General features: G+C 38.5%; 1 pseudogene across 1 annotated transcript in view; it reads left to right on the top strand.

The window, feature by feature from the left end:
- The window catches only part of REREP1Y (arginine-glutamic acid dipeptide repeats pseudogene 1 Y-linked), a 41,502-nt pseudogene that overhangs the window by 17,695 nt on the left and 6,738 nt on the right, over window positions 1-17,069 (top strand). Inside the window, exon 2 of the transcript XR_938667.3 lies at window positions 9,527-9,599. The product of XR_938667.3 is annotated as an arginine-glutamic acid dipeptide repeats pseudogene 1 Y-linked (transcript). The remainder of the gene's footprint in view (window positions 1-9,526; window positions 9,600-17,069) is intronic.

The raw sequence follows: 17,069 nt of genomic DNA on the forward strand, positions 1-17,069 counted from the left end.
TTGTGGAAAAATTAATCTAGGCCTCTTGAAAATCCTGTGGAATCTGCCTTTTCATATCCAGGAACCCTGGGGGCTTTTTCTGATTGCTGCTTGATAGTGCTAACCTATTTTTTGTGTGTTTCAATTTTTAAGTGTTTGTATTTTATGTCAACCTCCTCAGTGAAGGTCATACAGTTCACACAGCCATACTATACAGCCATATATCTGAAAACTTTCTTGGCTTAATTGTGCTTCCAGAACATTCTAAATGAAAAGGGTTAATGTCATTTAAAAAGTAAAGCAATGGAAATTATTAGCATGCTTTGATTTATAGATAATGGCTAAGATTGATGCCTGGTAAAATCCTAATCTCCCTGTTTTAATGAAAAAAAAAAAAAAAAAAAGCTTGTTTTGTCACCATAGAGGCAGCTGCCAGAGTCTACACAGCAGAATTTAAAACTAAAGATATAGTAAAATCTTACCCAACAAATAGGATATTTAAAAGAAGAAACTAAAAAAAAAAAAAATTCAAGTGAGGTTTCACATTTCAAGAAAAAGTCAGCAAAAAAGCATGATTTAATTGTCAGAAAGTTAGGCCTCAGTCTGCACACCATGGAGAAATGAGCTCCTAGTTCAATAGGAGGAAGAAAAGGCCCAAGGGACCAGTTTGATTGTAAACAGGTCATTTTTCCATACCTAAGACGATGTGGAAAGTACATCTTTGGAAAGAGTGTCAACAATGCTACCCCCATATGAAGGGTATAGTTTGAAGGCTGTTCTAGTCAGAAGCACTGAGAGAAAATAAATGGTCTTCTAAATTATTGTTTCATTTGGTTACATGTGAACTCAATTCCCTGAACCAAAGGTATGAAGTTTTAAGTTGGTACTCTAACCAGCATCAGTAGCCAATATAATATTCTTTTTTTTTATTTTTTGACAGTGTCTCACTCTGTCTCCCAGGCTGCAGTGCAGTGACGCTATCTCAGCTCACTGCAACCTCTACCTCCTGGGCTTAAGCAATTCTCCTGCCTAAGCTTCCCAAGTAGCTGGGAGTACAAGCTTGTGCCACCACACCCAGCTAATTTTTGTAGTTTTAGTGGAGATGGGGTTTTGCCATGTTGGCCAGGCTGGTCTCGAACTCCTGACCTCAAGTGATCCACCTGCCTCAGCCTCCCAAACTGCTGGTATTACAGGCGTGAACCACTGCACCTGACCTAATAAAATATTCTTACAATTTAAAAAATGAAAGCAGAGGAATGGTGGCGGGGAAGCTGACATTTTAAGAGTTCACTTCCTTGTAGTTATCACAGTTAATTCTTACTGTTAGAATAAGTGGTAACTTGCCAAGGTCACATTGCTAGATGTCAGAGCAGAAATTAGAAATCAGGTCTAGCCAAGGCCATCACACTTCTCAGAGCATTAACAATTCAGTTCAGTTAGTGTTTATTGAACACCTATTGTGTTCTGGCCCTGTAGGTACTAAAAATATAATTAGGAATAAGATGGAATTTTAGGGAAATGTTCCCTCCATAACAATATGTTTTTTAAAAGAATGTATGTATCTCTTCTGGATCTTTGTTATCAGGAAAAAAATATGTGTTTGTATGTGTTTCTCTAATATGATCTTCCCAAAACTCCTATCTTTTAGGAGGTTTTCTTAGCTGAAGCCAATGGGTTACCACTGTTATCTCCATAGCACATATTCTCATGTTTTCCCTACATTGCTTCAGGCGAACTTGTTAATTATGTTCACAGTGCTCTCCTGGTTCTGTCGTGCAACTTATTCTGCTTCTTCCTCAGTGCCTCCTCTACAGGGCTCTGCACACAGTGGGCTCTTAAATACAACAGATGTTTTGCATTTGCTGGTATGGAGTTCAGGCTGAATTATTCACAAGTATTTGACATGTCACAATAAATAGTTTTCCTGGACCATGAATTTTAATCCACCCAGATGCTAGGTCTTCTCACAAAGCTAATGAGTGACATAACCCATAGCCCAGGATCTCAGCTTCACTTGCATACTTTTTTTTGTTTGTTTTGTTTTGAGACAAGGCGTCACTCTGTCACCCAGGCTCAAGTGCAGTGGCATGAACACAGCTCACTGCAGCCTCGACCTCTCATGTTCAAGTGATCCTCCTGCCTTGGCTTTCCATGTAGCATGGATCACAGGTGCACACCACTATGCCCAGCTAACTTCTTAAAAATTATTTTGTAGAGATGGGGTCCCGCCATGTTGCCCAGACTGGTCTTGAACTCCTGGGCTCAAGTGATCCTCCTGCCTCCAGAGTGCTGGTATTACAGGTGTGAGCCACTGCACCCAGCCCTGTATATGTGTTAGTTCTTGAGAGGTGATTAAAATTTAGTTTCTTTTTTGAAAAAAAAGATATCAAGAAAAAAAAACTTCAGGTAAGTTGAGAAAGTAGGCAATGAAAGTGTGGGGTATACATGTAAGTGCCACTGGAGATTAGATATATAAATGTGGGACAGGAAAAATGCCTGGAATTGTCCTGAATTTTAGATTTCCAACTTTCAGGATTCTCACCTCAATGTATGAGAATATACCATATACTTTTCTTAATGAGTCCTAATGATTCCCCCACCTCAAATGGGGGCATGTCTCCATGTTCAAAAAACCTTCATTTAGTCCAGCGGTATTTAACCAGGGCTGTACAGCAGAATCACCTGGGTTACTTTTTAAAAATACATATAGGAAAGCTGCATTCTAGACCTACTGAAACAGAATCTCCAGTACTGAGGTTAGGACATGTACATTTTGCAAAAGTGTGCAGGATTATTCTGATGAGTATAACCCTTGATTTAAAGAGAGATTCCATGAGGAAATGTCATGTTTATCAAGGTGACTCTTTTCAGTCCTCTTTAGTCATATGTGCTGTCACTGTATACCTCTCCTGGACAGCTGTAGGGTGTGGTGTGTTGGGTTGTCCTGCTATGTTGTTTGACAAACCAGTGGCTTCCAGGGACTGTTTAGTGCAAAGCAGTGTCATTGAGTGACTTCTCAGAAGTTCAAGGATTCATTATCCATTTTGTAGATTATTGGACCTTTGGTTCTCTTCCTCCTCTTGTCTGTCTTGAAGATTTTGTGGTTCTTTAACCCTTCAGAAAGGGAAATAATTAAGTACATTTAAATCAATTGAATTTTTATTTGCCAGAGTTCTTAAAAAAAAAAAAAAAAGAAGGGATAGGAGGGTAAAGGTCATCTACAGTAAAAAGTAAATGTCAAACACAGACATAAGCACTTTTTGTTGTTTGATTTGTTTACAATGACCAAGCTTACTGGTTGTATCTATAAAACTCCTTTTGAGACCTCAGAGTACCTACTTTTTTTTTTTTTAACCAGCATCCTAGGGACTAGGATGGGACTTTCTCCCATCTCCCTTACTCTTCTACTTTCACTAGCAACCTAGGAGAAACTGAGGAAGTCTCCTGAGTTTTAATATTTGTAGTTGCAGCATTCACTCAGGGCAAGGTTGGGAGTTTGTGAACGAAGGAAATTAATAGAATGAATGTTGAGATCCAGAGAGGCCAAATGTCACATAGAAAGTCTGTGATAGTCACTCCTAGAACACAAGCTTGGCTAGTTAGTTGGGCGGGGAGTTGGGGGCAGTTTTTGATCATTTTACATTTTGCTAACTTCTAGTTTAAAAAGATGCTATCCCTAATGCCTCAAATCTAGTGAGTCATGGCATACAAAGAAGTGTGAACTAGGGCTAAGTCACCTTTGTGTAGTCAATTTGATTGCTTTTCTTAAATGGCACCCCCACCTCCAGCTGTGAAGTTCAGCCATCTGATTTCAAAAGTGCATTTATAGATGGAAATAATACAAATCAGTCTCTTGCTAATGCTGTTTTCTTTTCTTTTTTCTTTTTTTGTTTTTGTTTTTGTCTCCTTTCTCTAGCATGAAAGACTTTCTAAGTAAGAACTCTCCCTGTTATATATGCATGCTTAATACTTGTAAGTGAATGCATGTCTAATTAAACTTAGCTTTATATAATAATTCAGTAATGTTTCTCACATCCTTTCCGTCATTTTCATTTCCACTGCCACCACAATAATTCAGACTTTTATTACCTCCTGCCCAAAACAGTGGAACAAGCTTTTCAATTTACCTTCCTGTTTCCAGATTCTCCTCTTTCCAGTTCACCTTGTAGACTTCCACTAGATTAATTTTTTTAAAGCACCAGTGTACCAGGCACCATGCTCGGTATTAGGGAAACAACATGAATAAGACAGTATCCTTACCTTCAATTAGCTAACAAGCCACTAGAGAGACAGATCATTTCAGCAGAACATAATAAGTGCCCATCAGAAGTACAGACAGGTATTCTGAGCACAGAGAAGAGCAATTAATCTAATCTGATGGTTCAGATTGAGGTTAGATACTGTTATTTAATAGTGGATCCAACAAAATACCTTATACCTAGATGATGCTCCTTAGTAGTTTGTTGAATGAACAAACTAAAGACCTGTTTTGCAATTGCTGAAAAATTAAAGAAGGACATCAAAATTGGGGGAATGACCCTCTGCAGTTTTTCACCTCGTATCTAAGGGTACAAAACTGATCTTCTGAAAGAAGAAACTAAATAAAAAATAATAGACTATAGAGCCAAAAGTTGGAATCTTTCTTTTTCTACTGTTACTCTGATGAAATTAAGAGATTTTCTACTGTTACTCTGATGAAATTAAGAAATTAAGAGATTGGGAGAAGACATAGTTATGGGACTATAGGCCAAATGAGTTTCCTTATAATTTGTTTAGTATTGAGCTGGTTCTGCCTTATTAATATATTCTAAATTTTACATATGTTCTTCCTCTGCTTGCCCTCTCACCAGGCAGCAGCTGAGGACAAATCATTTACTTCTAACCTAGCAGAAAATTACTTAGTTTTGCAAAATTGTTGGAGAGTGGTATTTTGCCATAATCTTTTGTGAACTCTCTTGTATTATAATAGCCATTTGTGAAAGGAAACTTTTTCCCACAGACTTCAAAATATGCTGTGAAACTGTACCAATTAAAAGAGTGAAGCACTAGCTCAAGAATAAACAAAGAGGCCTATGGAACACAATCCATAGCCCCTCCAAAAAATCACATGTATAAGGTGACTTCATCTCAGTGAGGAAATAATTATTCAATAAGTGATCATTAGGACAGTTGATTATCTGTTTGAGCAATTATATCCTTCCCTTCAGCCATACCAAAAACAAATGGATTTCAGTTGGATTACAATTTGTAAGAGAAAAGTGTTTTACCATAAAAGTTAGCAGAAGAGAATATTTTGTAATCTTTATATAGGAAAAGCCTTTCCAAGTGTGATACCGTTAGTAGAAAGGGGTCCTGATTCAGACCCCAAGAGAGGGTTCTTGGATCTCATGCAATAAAGAGTTCAGGGAGAGTCCATAAAGTGAAAGCAAGTTTATTAAGAAAGTAAAGGAATAAAAGAATAGCTACTCCATAGACAAAGAAGCTGGTTGCCCATTTTTTTGGTTATTTCTTGTTTATATGCTAAACAAGAGGTGGATTATTCATGCCTGCCCTTTTTAGACCATATGTTGTAACTTCCTGACTTTGCCATGGCGTTTGTAAACTGTTATGGTGTTGGTGGGAGTGTAGCAGTGAGGATGAGCAGAGGACACTCTCACGGCCATCTTGGTTTTGTGGGTTTTAGCCAGCTTCTTCACTGCAACCTGCTTTATCAGCAAGGTCTTTATGACCTGTATCTTGTGCCAACCTCCTATCTCATTCAGTGACTTAAAATGCCTTAATCGTCTGGGAATGCAGCCCAGTAGGTCTCAGCCTCATTTTACCCAGCCCCTATTCAAGATGAAGTTTCTCTGGTTCAAATGTCTCTGACAATACCATAAAGATAAAAATCATCAAATTTAATTATATAAAATTTAAAATCTCTAAGTAAAAGACACTATAAACAGAGACAGAAAGTGAAGTGGGAAAAAATATTTGCTGCCTATATTAGTTTTAAAAGCCCTACTCTATAGGAGGTTCCCCTACTACAATAAGAAAAAGATGATTACCCTACTGAACAAAGGCTATTAATTGGCAATTCAGAAACAAAGAAAAGAAAAATAACCAAAGATATTGATTGTTCATAATGATTTTAAAATATTAAAATTAATGACAGATATCATATTTCTGTCAGAAATATTTCATAAGAAGGTAACTGGACAAAGGCACTAAGGTTTATAGATAAGTCTGCTCATTTTAACATTGTTTAGCTTCAATCATAAATGAGACTGTGGTGACCCTGCAGAATTGACTGTTTGGTGGAGACAAGTAAACCTTAAGATTCTTAGAAACAGGAAATTTTACCTTGGGACAGGATCGACCAGACTCTAGAGAGGTACTTTTTAAAAATGGCCTTTAGGCCAGGCATGGTGGCTCACGCCTGCAATTCTAGCACTTTGGGGGGCTGAGGCGGGTGGATGACCTGAGGTCAGGAGTTCGAGACCAGCCTGACCAACATGATGAAATGCTGTCTCTACTAAAAATACAAAAATTAGCTGGGCTCGGTGGTGTGCACCTCTAATCCCAGCTACTCGGGAGGCTGAGACAGGAGAATTGCTTGAACCCAGGAGGTGGAGGTTGCAGTGAGCCGAGGTCACGCCACTGCACTCCAGCCTGGGCGACAGAGCGAGTCTCTGTCTCAAAAAAAAAAAAAAAGGCCTGAAGATCAGAGATTTATTGCTCCTGCTAACTTCCTTTTCCAAAAATTTGAGCTTCAGGCTCTCTAATCAACGATAATAGAAGAAGTCATCTAACCTGCTTGGTGTTTCCAAAAATGTATTATGGTCATGCCAGTATATTGTGGCTTATAGCATTGCTCAAAAAAAGACAGACTCAACTTTTAGATGAGATCAGGGAAACAAGTGAGTCAAAACCTGTTGAACACTAGCAAAGCCTTTCCTTTTCATTTGATGTATTGTGTGTATTAAGACACCTTTTTTAGGCTGGGCACAGTGTAATCCCAGCACTTTGGGAGGCGGAGACAGAAGGATTGCTTGAGCCCAGGAGTTCAAGACCAGCCTGGGCAACATAGTGAGACCTCATCTCTACAAAAAATTTTTACAAATTAGCTGGGCCTGGTGGCATACACCTGTAGTCCCAGCTACTCAGGAGGCTGAGGCAGGAGCATCACTTGAGTCTGGGAGGTTGAGGCTGTAGTGAGCCATGATTGCACCACTGCATTCTAGCCTGGGCAACAGAGTAAGTCCCAGCCACTCAGGAGGCTGAGGCAGGAGCATCACTTGAGTCTGGGAGGTCGAGGCTGTAGTGAGCCATGATTGCACCACTGCATTCTAGCCTGGGCAACAGAGTAAGACCCTGTCTCAAAAAAAAAAAAAAAAACACGATATTTTCTTACAGAAGACAGTAAAACCTAGGTGAAATCATTTTGTTTAAGTTACTTTTACTGTGAAGAGTGACATGAATTTCGTATGAGATGTAATTAGCAGATTAACATTTTTATGTTTTTCTGAGAAAGAGATGAAAATACTTCACTGTGTTATGTCCGTAATCTGGAACAATCATTTTACTGAGGAATGCTGTTACTGTTCTGAACTTCACATCAAGTTCCAGATTTTCATTCTCCCACATAGGAGTTTTTTAAATTTCAAAAGATGGCAGTGGGGCTGAGCGCAGTGGCTCATGACTGTAATCCCAGCACTTTGAGAGGCTGAGGCAGCGGGAGGATTGCTTGAGCAATGTGGAGACCCACCTGGGTAACATAGTGAGACTGTGTCTCTACAAAACAGTAAAAAATTAGCTGGGAGTGTGATGAGACCGTAGTCCCAGCTACTCAGGAGGCTGAGGTAGAAGAATCCCTAGAGCTCAGGAGGGCAAGCCTGCAGTAAGCCCTTTCACATCATAGCACTCCAGCCTGTGCAGCAGAGCAAAATCCTATCTCCACCCCTCCCCCGCCACAAAAAAAAGTCAGTGCTAGAACTTAATACAGACAAATTTGCATTCACAACTACAATTTCTTGGTTGAAGATTAACTGAGAAGGTATTTGTGTGATATAAATTGATCAGAATGGAGGTTTTAGAGCAGTTAGAAATCTGCTGTAAGGATTAAATGATGTGTGTAGGTTACAGTACTGTCTGTATTTATCTTTGATTTAGACTCAGCTATTGGGCAGTAAGAATTTCTTAGCAACTGAGGAATCTCTCAGAGTTACCACAGATTGCTTGTTTAGGGTGTACGCACATCTAAATCATGGGAAAGGAACAAAATATGTTAACTCTTTTTTTTACTATTATTATTATACTTTAAGTTTTAGGGTACATGTGCACATTGTGCAGGTTTGTTACATATGTATCCATGTGCCATGTTGGTATGCTGCACCCATTAACTCGTCATTTAGCATTAGGTAGATCAGCACTTTGGGAGGCCAAGGCAGGGGGATAGCTTGAGCCCAAGAGTTTGAGACTAGCCTGGGCAACATAGTGAGGCCCTTTCTATGCAAAATGAATGAATGAATGAGGCATTATGGTCACCGTTACTAGATTTGATTGACTGTGCCTTTACTTTTCAGTAAATAATACATAGACTTTCCTGACCTAAGCTTTATGATGATCTCAGGTTGTGATATGGGGGTAGGAGGAGGTTAACTCTCTCTATAGCCACTGCTTTCCTTAAAATCATTGCTTTTTATTAAAGTGTCTTAACATGGCATTTTAAAAAGCAACCTTGGCCAAGCATGGTGGCTCATGCCTGTAATCCTGACACTTTGGGTGGCTGAGGTGGGAGGATTGCTTGAGCCCAGGAGTTGGAGACCAGCCAAAAAAAAAAGCAATGCTTTACACTCCAGTCATTGAGAGCATCAAAAATTATTTTCCAACCACTGCCATGTCAAATGTAATTTAAGAAAGCACCCCTCTTCCCTGAAGAAAATGCAATTTGGTTTACTTTATTCCATCTCTGATTAGTGGCATTGGTTTTGTTTACAATTAGAAAATAAAATGTGTTTAGGGTACAATGTAATGGCAAATTGTCTGTAAGAGGTTAGTTTTCTTTCTCTTTTTGATGAGCTGAAAAGGTCATTGTAGTAGCATATTCAAGCTAGTCATCTTTGCGTATTTCATTTATTTCCTCACAAAATATTTATTACAAATATAGTAGCACGTTTCTCTTTTTTGAAGACATGTGAGCATCTATCTGAATAAGATACTCAATATTTCATCTTGATGTGTGATCTCGAGCAAGCGGTTTCTTTTATCTAAATGTCTTCATCTGAATATGGATAATCCCTTGGAATCCTCCCTTCTTCTTCAGGGACTCTGAAGAAAATAATTTAGGCTTCATCAGATTCTTTAAATTATTAGAAAAATAATCAGAAAGAACCAAAGGGCTGTTTTCCTTTAGCCTAAAGATATTTGCAATTTAATATCATCTTTTGGAAAAAAATTTACGATAAAAGATATATGTTTTGTCACTTATTTATGCAGTGGCTTTATGGGCCTTGTCTTTGTTCCTTAAAGGTAAATGCCATTGTTTTAAAATTTCTTTTTCTTTTAGAGACTGTGTGTATATCGCGAGTCGGAGGCCAAACACACCGTATTTCATCTGTAGCATTCAAGACTTCAAACTGGTAAGCATTTTTAACGTGCTGTTCGCTCTGCTCTGTATTCTCTCTTTTTCCAGTTCCATTGGCTATCTCTTATTGTTACTCCATTGCTGTTGACGTGGTTACCAGTTCACCTTTTGAGTGCTAACTGTCTCGTGGCAGTAGCACTGAAACGAGGGTTACTAGTTCCATCTTTTCAGCTTTGTAACACTTACTCTCATAATGCTTATATTGTAAACAATATTTCTGAAGTTTTTATCCCTTTAGTAACTGTTTTGACAATTTCAGATAGTCCCTTGAATTTCTGAAGTAGGTTGTTTCTTCTTAGCCATTGTTAAGAGCCTAAAGTAAAGTAAATTCAGTAAATTGATGAGTAGGGGAAATAATATAAATGGGTCAGAGAATAGTTTCCAGTGGAAATCTGTCACTTCCTTCAATATTTCGGTAGGTGTGGAGTATATGTTGAAATTGTTGTGGGGGTTTCCCGGGGTAGCGGTTGAAAGAAGTCTGGCTTGGGCATGGTAAAGCTGTTGTACTTTCTTTCCAGTTTTAGTGCATGTGTTGCAGAACTGAGGACATAGCTGCTGTACTTTCTCGTTAAAAATTCTTCCTGAATATATAAGTGTTGATGTTCCTCATTATGAAATCGCTTTTTTAGGGCCAGTGGTTCTCATACTTTAGGCTTTGGATCCCTGGATGTCTGCAGAGATTTGGCAGAGGTCTGCAAATAAACATGCTAAGCTTGATGTAAATGAATTGATCTCACATGTCTGGACAATGATTTTTCAGCCTGTTTTCAGTATGCTTTTATGATTTTTAAAAATTTCACTTATTTAAAAGCAATACACAGTTAAGAACCACTATTTGTTGTTGTTGTTGTTGTTTGAGACAGAGTCTTGCTCTGTCACCCAGGCTGGAGTGCAGTGGTGCAGTCTTGGCTCACCGCAGCCTCTGCCTCCCGGAAACAAGTGATTCTCCTGCCTCAGCCTCCCGAGTAACTGGGATTACAGGTGCATGCCAGTACAACCAGCTGTTATTTTTATATTTTGTATTTTTAGCAGAGAACAGGGTTTGTATTTTTAGCAGAGAACAGGGTTTCACCATGTTGGCCAGGCTCGTCTCCAACTTCTGACCTCAAGTGATTTGCCTGCTTTGGCCTCCCAAAGTGCTGGGATTACAAACGTGAGCTACCATGCCTGGCAGGAACCACTGTTTGTTTGTTATTTTCCTCAAACAATTGGTATTTGAAATACTACTGAAGTAGTATCATTTGGGAGTCTTTTGAAACATTTTGATCTTACAAGGGACCCTAGTACTTTGAAGATTGTGAACCACTGTCTGTACTCTTAAGGGTAGAGAATTCCTAATTCCTTAGCTTTGTAGAGATGTGTATCACTATCTGTGAATGCTCTTATTTCCAACACCCTTTGTAATTTGACAATATTTGTTTTGACTATGTTGTATGTGATATTTCAGTCTAAAGAAATGTAGTTTGAAAAGATCTTTCTCTGCATCTCCTTTGTTTTTTATCATTTTTAATGGCCCAAGTACCAAATTAGTATATTCAGTAAAAAAAAAAAAGTCACATTATTTTTCTTTGTTAAAAAGTTATTGCTTAAGTTATTGCATGCCTACTGTTTTAAGATGAAGTCAAATGTGCTATTTACTTATAAGATGGATCTATTCTTGATAGGTGACTTTTAACTTTCCTGGTTGCATTGCAAGGCGGCCTTGCAGTTTAATCTTGTAAATCAAATGCTTTCTATCCAATTTTTATGTCTATATGAATTTTTTAAAACCATTTTTAGAGGTCTTTGCTACTTATTATATCTTTCCTTCCAAAGTGTTTTTTTTTTTTTTTTTAACAGATACAGCACTGACACCTGAAATACGGGTATAGCCTTATTCCTGAAGAGTTTTGTTTTGGTAGTGGCTGCTGCTACTGCCCTTTTCCTGCCCATTGTCTTTGTGTGTGATTTTCACAAAACCAAACATCAGTGCACCATGAAAAATATATAGCTGTGAAATAAAATTGTAAATATTTTTATTTTACCTATTAGATCTTGAGCCCCCTTTGTACAGTTTTTGCACATTAACAGGTGCCTTCCTGTTTGAACAGCATCTCTTATGAAATGCTGATTACAATGTGATAGTTGCTGTTCTGGGCAGAGGTTCCTGCTGAGTTACGGTAATTGCTCAGGGTGTTAACAGCAATAGAAGCTGAAGCTTCTGTTGTCAGTATTGGTCTAATACAACACATTAAAGCTATCTACAAAAATATGTGGGAAGTAGGGTGCAGTATGTTTAGATACCTTTTTCTAAATCACACACTGCTGTTTCTCATGTTTTTGTTTGAGGTTCTGTATTCAGCACATCCTCATAGTTGTTGTGTAAGAACAACAGATGATGAAATATTTGCTCTGGGAATAAATATAGTTATTTCCACTGTCTTATTTTCTTACTTCTCTGTACTTATTAAAAGATAATCAAATAGATGAGAATGATCAAGATTTTTTTCTCCTTCAGTTTACTGAAGCTGTAAGGGAAAAAGATGAGCAGAAGGAAATAAGCTTTGTTTCTCTGTGAGATTTTAAAAAGAAGAAGAAATTGAATTTGATTTTGCTCACAGCAAATAACATGACTAGTGGAGCAATGAAAGAAAAAAAAACCCGATAGCTTTGAAATGTTGAGTAATTAGGTATTTTATCTTTTTAATAATCACAAAATAAAAAGTTGGTTTGGGGTTATAATTGAGAGACGTGTTTCATTGTTTATACTATAAATGAGAATCCCTTTGCCGTGGTGAAATTTTGTGTATAAAGTATGTTTGGGCACTGTAAAAATAACTGGGTGAATGCCCTTTATGATACACATTAGTAGGTATGATTACGATGTTAAAGACAACAAAAGCTAATGAGGTGAGGCGTGGGGAGGAGGAGACATGTACCGCCAGTCACTGAGACTAGAATAATGGCAGCTTATTGAACCGAGGGCCTTAGGTCACATTTCATGAAATAGCTCTATATGAGATAAGGAGAAGGGTCTTTGTGTTTTATGTGGGGACCTGGGTTGTCTTCTCAACTCTGCTGCTGCATTCCCTTAGAATCGAGTCTGTGGTATAGAACACAGCTGCCTCTATGTCCTGATCCCTGTCTGTTGTCCTGCCAGACTATTAAACAGCCTCCCCTTTCACTCTCAAAAATGTCTGAGTGTGGATGATAGGTTGTGAGGTTGTGTGGTTATCTTGCCTACGGGGATAGGGTCCATGGCTTCTGCTTTATTAATATTCAACCATCAAAACACACAGGGACACCACCATCCTACACTAGTAGGTGTATTTTGAGCCCGTACTTCCACAGGGTACGTGGAGGCTATGATAGTATCAAGCAACTAAGTTCCTAACTGAGCTGAGGTTTTAAAGGTAGGAATTATGTATTCTATTAGGAAGCTTTCATTCTCTTAGGAAGTATTCATTTGATTGGGCTTATTTACAAACGGAGATGTCTGATTTTGTTTAAATGCGCTGACCAAAGTATTTATGGAACAACTAGTCAAAAGCAGGAGCTCAGGTGAGCAGAAGAGGCTGGGTAGAATTATGGACAGTGCATACTTAGAAGCAGGAGAAAGAAGTATTGTTGATTAAAAAGGTCGCTTTGCACCGTAGATTTCTGAACTATATAGTAAAATAGCTGGCAAAGTCTTTATTTAGCTTTTTGAAGGACTAATAATTTGGAATGGCAGTCTGTGATCCTTGTGGCCTGGCATGAAAAGATTAATTGAGCCAAATTTCATTTTTAGAATTTAGAGTTGAGAAACTGAGAGACTGAGGCAGTTAGTAGAGGGGAAAGGTGAATGGATAATTCAAGAATTACCCCTAATATATCTGTAAAAATTAAAAATAAAAAAAGAATTACCTGAATGACAAGAGCAAGGTTAGGGCTGACATAGGCAAGCTCACTTGCTAGGGTAGGAAACTGGGAAAAGCAGAGGACAGGGAAGCTGTGGGAAGGGCAGCAGACTGCCAAGGGAAGTGTGTGCACAGCCGTCTCTTCCTTGACTCCCCTGGGTCCCACTGCACTGATGTTCTTCCCACAGGATTCTTAGATTATCCTGTTCGCTCTGAGTAGAGAGCTCTCATCTGGGCTAGCTTGAGTGGATCTTCATCAATTGCAATGGAAAGAGCCTAGGTTAACATCTCCAACCCTTCTGCTGCCCTCCCATAGCTTTTATAGGTCACCATGTGACTTAGTTACTTTGAGGGTTTTGTTCTGAATAAGTCAATATCATTGAGGAGCATTATATCACAGAGTGCAAATAGGAATGTTTTGGGCTATAATCAGGGGCATTTACTGAATACCTACTTTGTGTTCTTTATGGAACTCAGCACCTAAAGGGAGACTGAAGAAGTATAAAATATTGTTCATTCTCTCAGTGATCTTAGATTCTAAGTGACAGACAACTTGTGGCATTATTGGATGTCAGTCTTCTTTGGAGAACATTCTGAATAGGATTGACAAGAAGGGCATTCACTTTTAGTTCTAAAAGAAATGATTTCTTTTGTGTGTTTATGAAAAACAATAAAATCATATTTTTATAGAAACCCAGGCATTAAGAAGTATAATACAAATAATTTGCCATCTGGAAATAATCATGGAGTCTGAGAATGCTAACAAGGTCATGGAGACAGTAATTTTCATTCAGTATAACACTGAGGAGTTCCTTGTATAGTAAGTGGTTCCTTGTAGCAGTTAGTACCTTTCTTTATTCACAGATAAGTAAGCAAACTCACTCCTGTAATATTCTCCATGGAAATTCAGTGTGTATTCTTGCATTGCCGTCATTCATACAGTAGAGGAAAACGTGCTTTTGGTTTCCTAAAGTTACATAGGTGTTTCAGCTGTTACTTATACCAAATGAGTTTCTAGGTAGTATATGTAGCTATAAGTACTATTTTGGGTTAATAACATTGATTCATTTTGGTTCCTCAGCTGTTTTATTAAAACTTGGAAAATTGTCCTTAAAGTTAAGCCAGATAACAGAGATTCCTTAGAGTTGGGGGTGATAGGGATGTTAAAGTGTTTCAGGTGATGGTTAGCTGGGCTCGACATATTGTTATGGCTCCACATAGATGATAATGTCGCTGTATCATTTGTGTCCCTAACAGCCTACTTTCTAAGTGCTAGTTCTGAATGTGGAATAGCTAAGGATGCATACTACTAGTTACCTTGGAGAATGCACAATTCCATTATTGCTGTGAATGTGGGGGCCAAGTTATTTATCGTTTAATACCATATCCCTCTCATTGTTTCATTGTCAAATGTGACCAGCTGGAGGAAAAACACCTGGAATTTCTCTCTGATTCCTGGTCTGTACTCATAAGTTGTTTGCTACTCACTACCCTTTATTCATGCCTTCCCCGACAGTACAGCAGCAGAAGGGCTGAAGAGAAATTAACTTCATCTTAGGTTCCACTTGCCATTGAGATTGCCCACCCTCCACCAAATTTATTTTCCTAAAAATGGATTAAAAGTAACAAGAAGCTATTTCTCCTCCTTTTTAATAAAAACTTACTGAGGATGAGTAATTATGTCTTCTTTTCTTATTAGAACCATAGATGATGCTGGGAGATATCAGATAGCGACTTAATTACCCATACCTTTTGTGCACACATTCAAGTGTACACACAGTGACTTAATTATCAGACTTACACATTATCTACCGCATTTCTTTAATCCCAGCGTGGCTGTTACCACTTAACACAGAAGGCGTACTGTATGGACATTCATGGAATGGGCATTCGTTTAAAAGGAGGTAAATCTTGCATTGGAGCCCTTTTTTGGTTGCGGGGGGTGGGCAGGAAGGTCCACATAATTTGAACATGGCTAATTCAGAATTTAGGATCTGTTATTCTGGGATTGAGATGAGGGATGGTAGATTGCCCAGGTTCAGAGCTCGGACTTCGACATCAGGTTGTCTGAGTTCACGTACTCCGTCCATCAGTTGCCATCTTTCCTGACCTTGGGAAATACACTTAACCCTCTTAACTTTCTTTAGTTACCTGTGAAGTTGGGATATAAAGTACCTACCTTGCCAAGTAGATTGTTTTTAGATTAAAAGGTCAAACTTACAAAGTGTCCAGTGCCCCATAGAGTGACACTGATTGTGATGTTGTTGTTTAGTTGGTACCTTAGGTTTATGCTTTTTATTCACTGATGTATATATTGTGTGCTTATCACATTGGCTGGCTGTATTGTCCACAGTAAGTATTTAGTGAATACTGAATGAAGTAACATTTAAGTGGAATAAATTCACTGGATAAGTATTTTTAAAAAACTTTAGTAATAGTTGTTTGATACAGTGCATCAACAACAAATTAACATTCTCTTAAACAAGCCAAAGAAGTCTACTCAATTACCTTTGGTTAGCCTGCAGTGCGTAATGTATAGAACTAATAAAACTTTATTTCTTTTAAAATACTTGAGGAAAATTCAGTTTCTTCTTTTCTTCACGAATTTGAATGAATGTAGCCTAAGTCATAATATTTTTTAGGCATCATTATATTGTTTTGGGTTTTCCATAGGACTGACTTTCAGCAAAGATAAATGAGGGCCTAGTATATGTGTGAACCTCCCAGAAAAGGCCAACTGTTATGAAAAATGCCTTACGCTATGATGATTTGTTTCTGTTTTTGTTTTTGACAGTCCTTCAAGGTAGGCCTGCAAAACTGAGTATTTCTTTCTATAACTCCTTCTTCTCTTTACTTTCTTGGCTTGTACCATACAAAAAGGTCAGTATCACCCAGTTACGCCTTTGTGACTTGTTGTGTAGTGTCGGACAATGAAGTAAAAACTTTACATTGAAGTTCATTATCAAGTATTTTCAGCTATTATATCCAAGGACCAAGTGGCCTTTTCACATATAAATTTGCGATTTCTAATTTTGTTTAATTCTTTAACGAGGCAAGAGGCGGGATGGAATTCTTTTTTGGAGACAGAGTTTCCCTCTTGTCACCCAGGCTGGAGTTCAGTGGCGTGATCTCAGCTCTTTCCAACCTCCGCCTCCGGGTTCAAGCGATTCTCCTGCCTCAGCCTCCCAAGTAGCTGGAATTACGGACACCTGCCACCACCCCCAGCTATGTTTTTGTATTCTTAGTAGAGACGGGGTTTCACTATGTTGGCCAGGCTGGTCTTGAACTCCTGACCTCGTGATCCACCCACCTCGACCTCCCAAAGTGTCAGGATTACAGGCATGAGCCACTGCATCAAGCAAGATGGAATTCTTTAGCCCTGAGTTTGGTGGACTGAGTCAGAGGAGGTTGTATATCTATACTCCCCTCCCGCCACAATTGTAGAGTAATGACATTGAAAGTTTTTTGAACCACCACATCCTTTTTGCATGATACTGATGTCAACCTCTAAATGGACAGGGTGGTATTAACATAAGTGGAAATCAAAATGAGGGCTTGGGAATAAATAATTCCAGCATTTTATTGGC

The sequence above is a fragment of the Homo sapiens genome, chromosome Y (assembly GCF_000001405.40).
Source record: "Homo sapiens chromosome Y, GRCh38.p14 Primary Assembly".
NCBI lineage: Eukaryota > Metazoa > Chordata > Mammalia > Primates > Hominidae > Homo > Homo sapiens.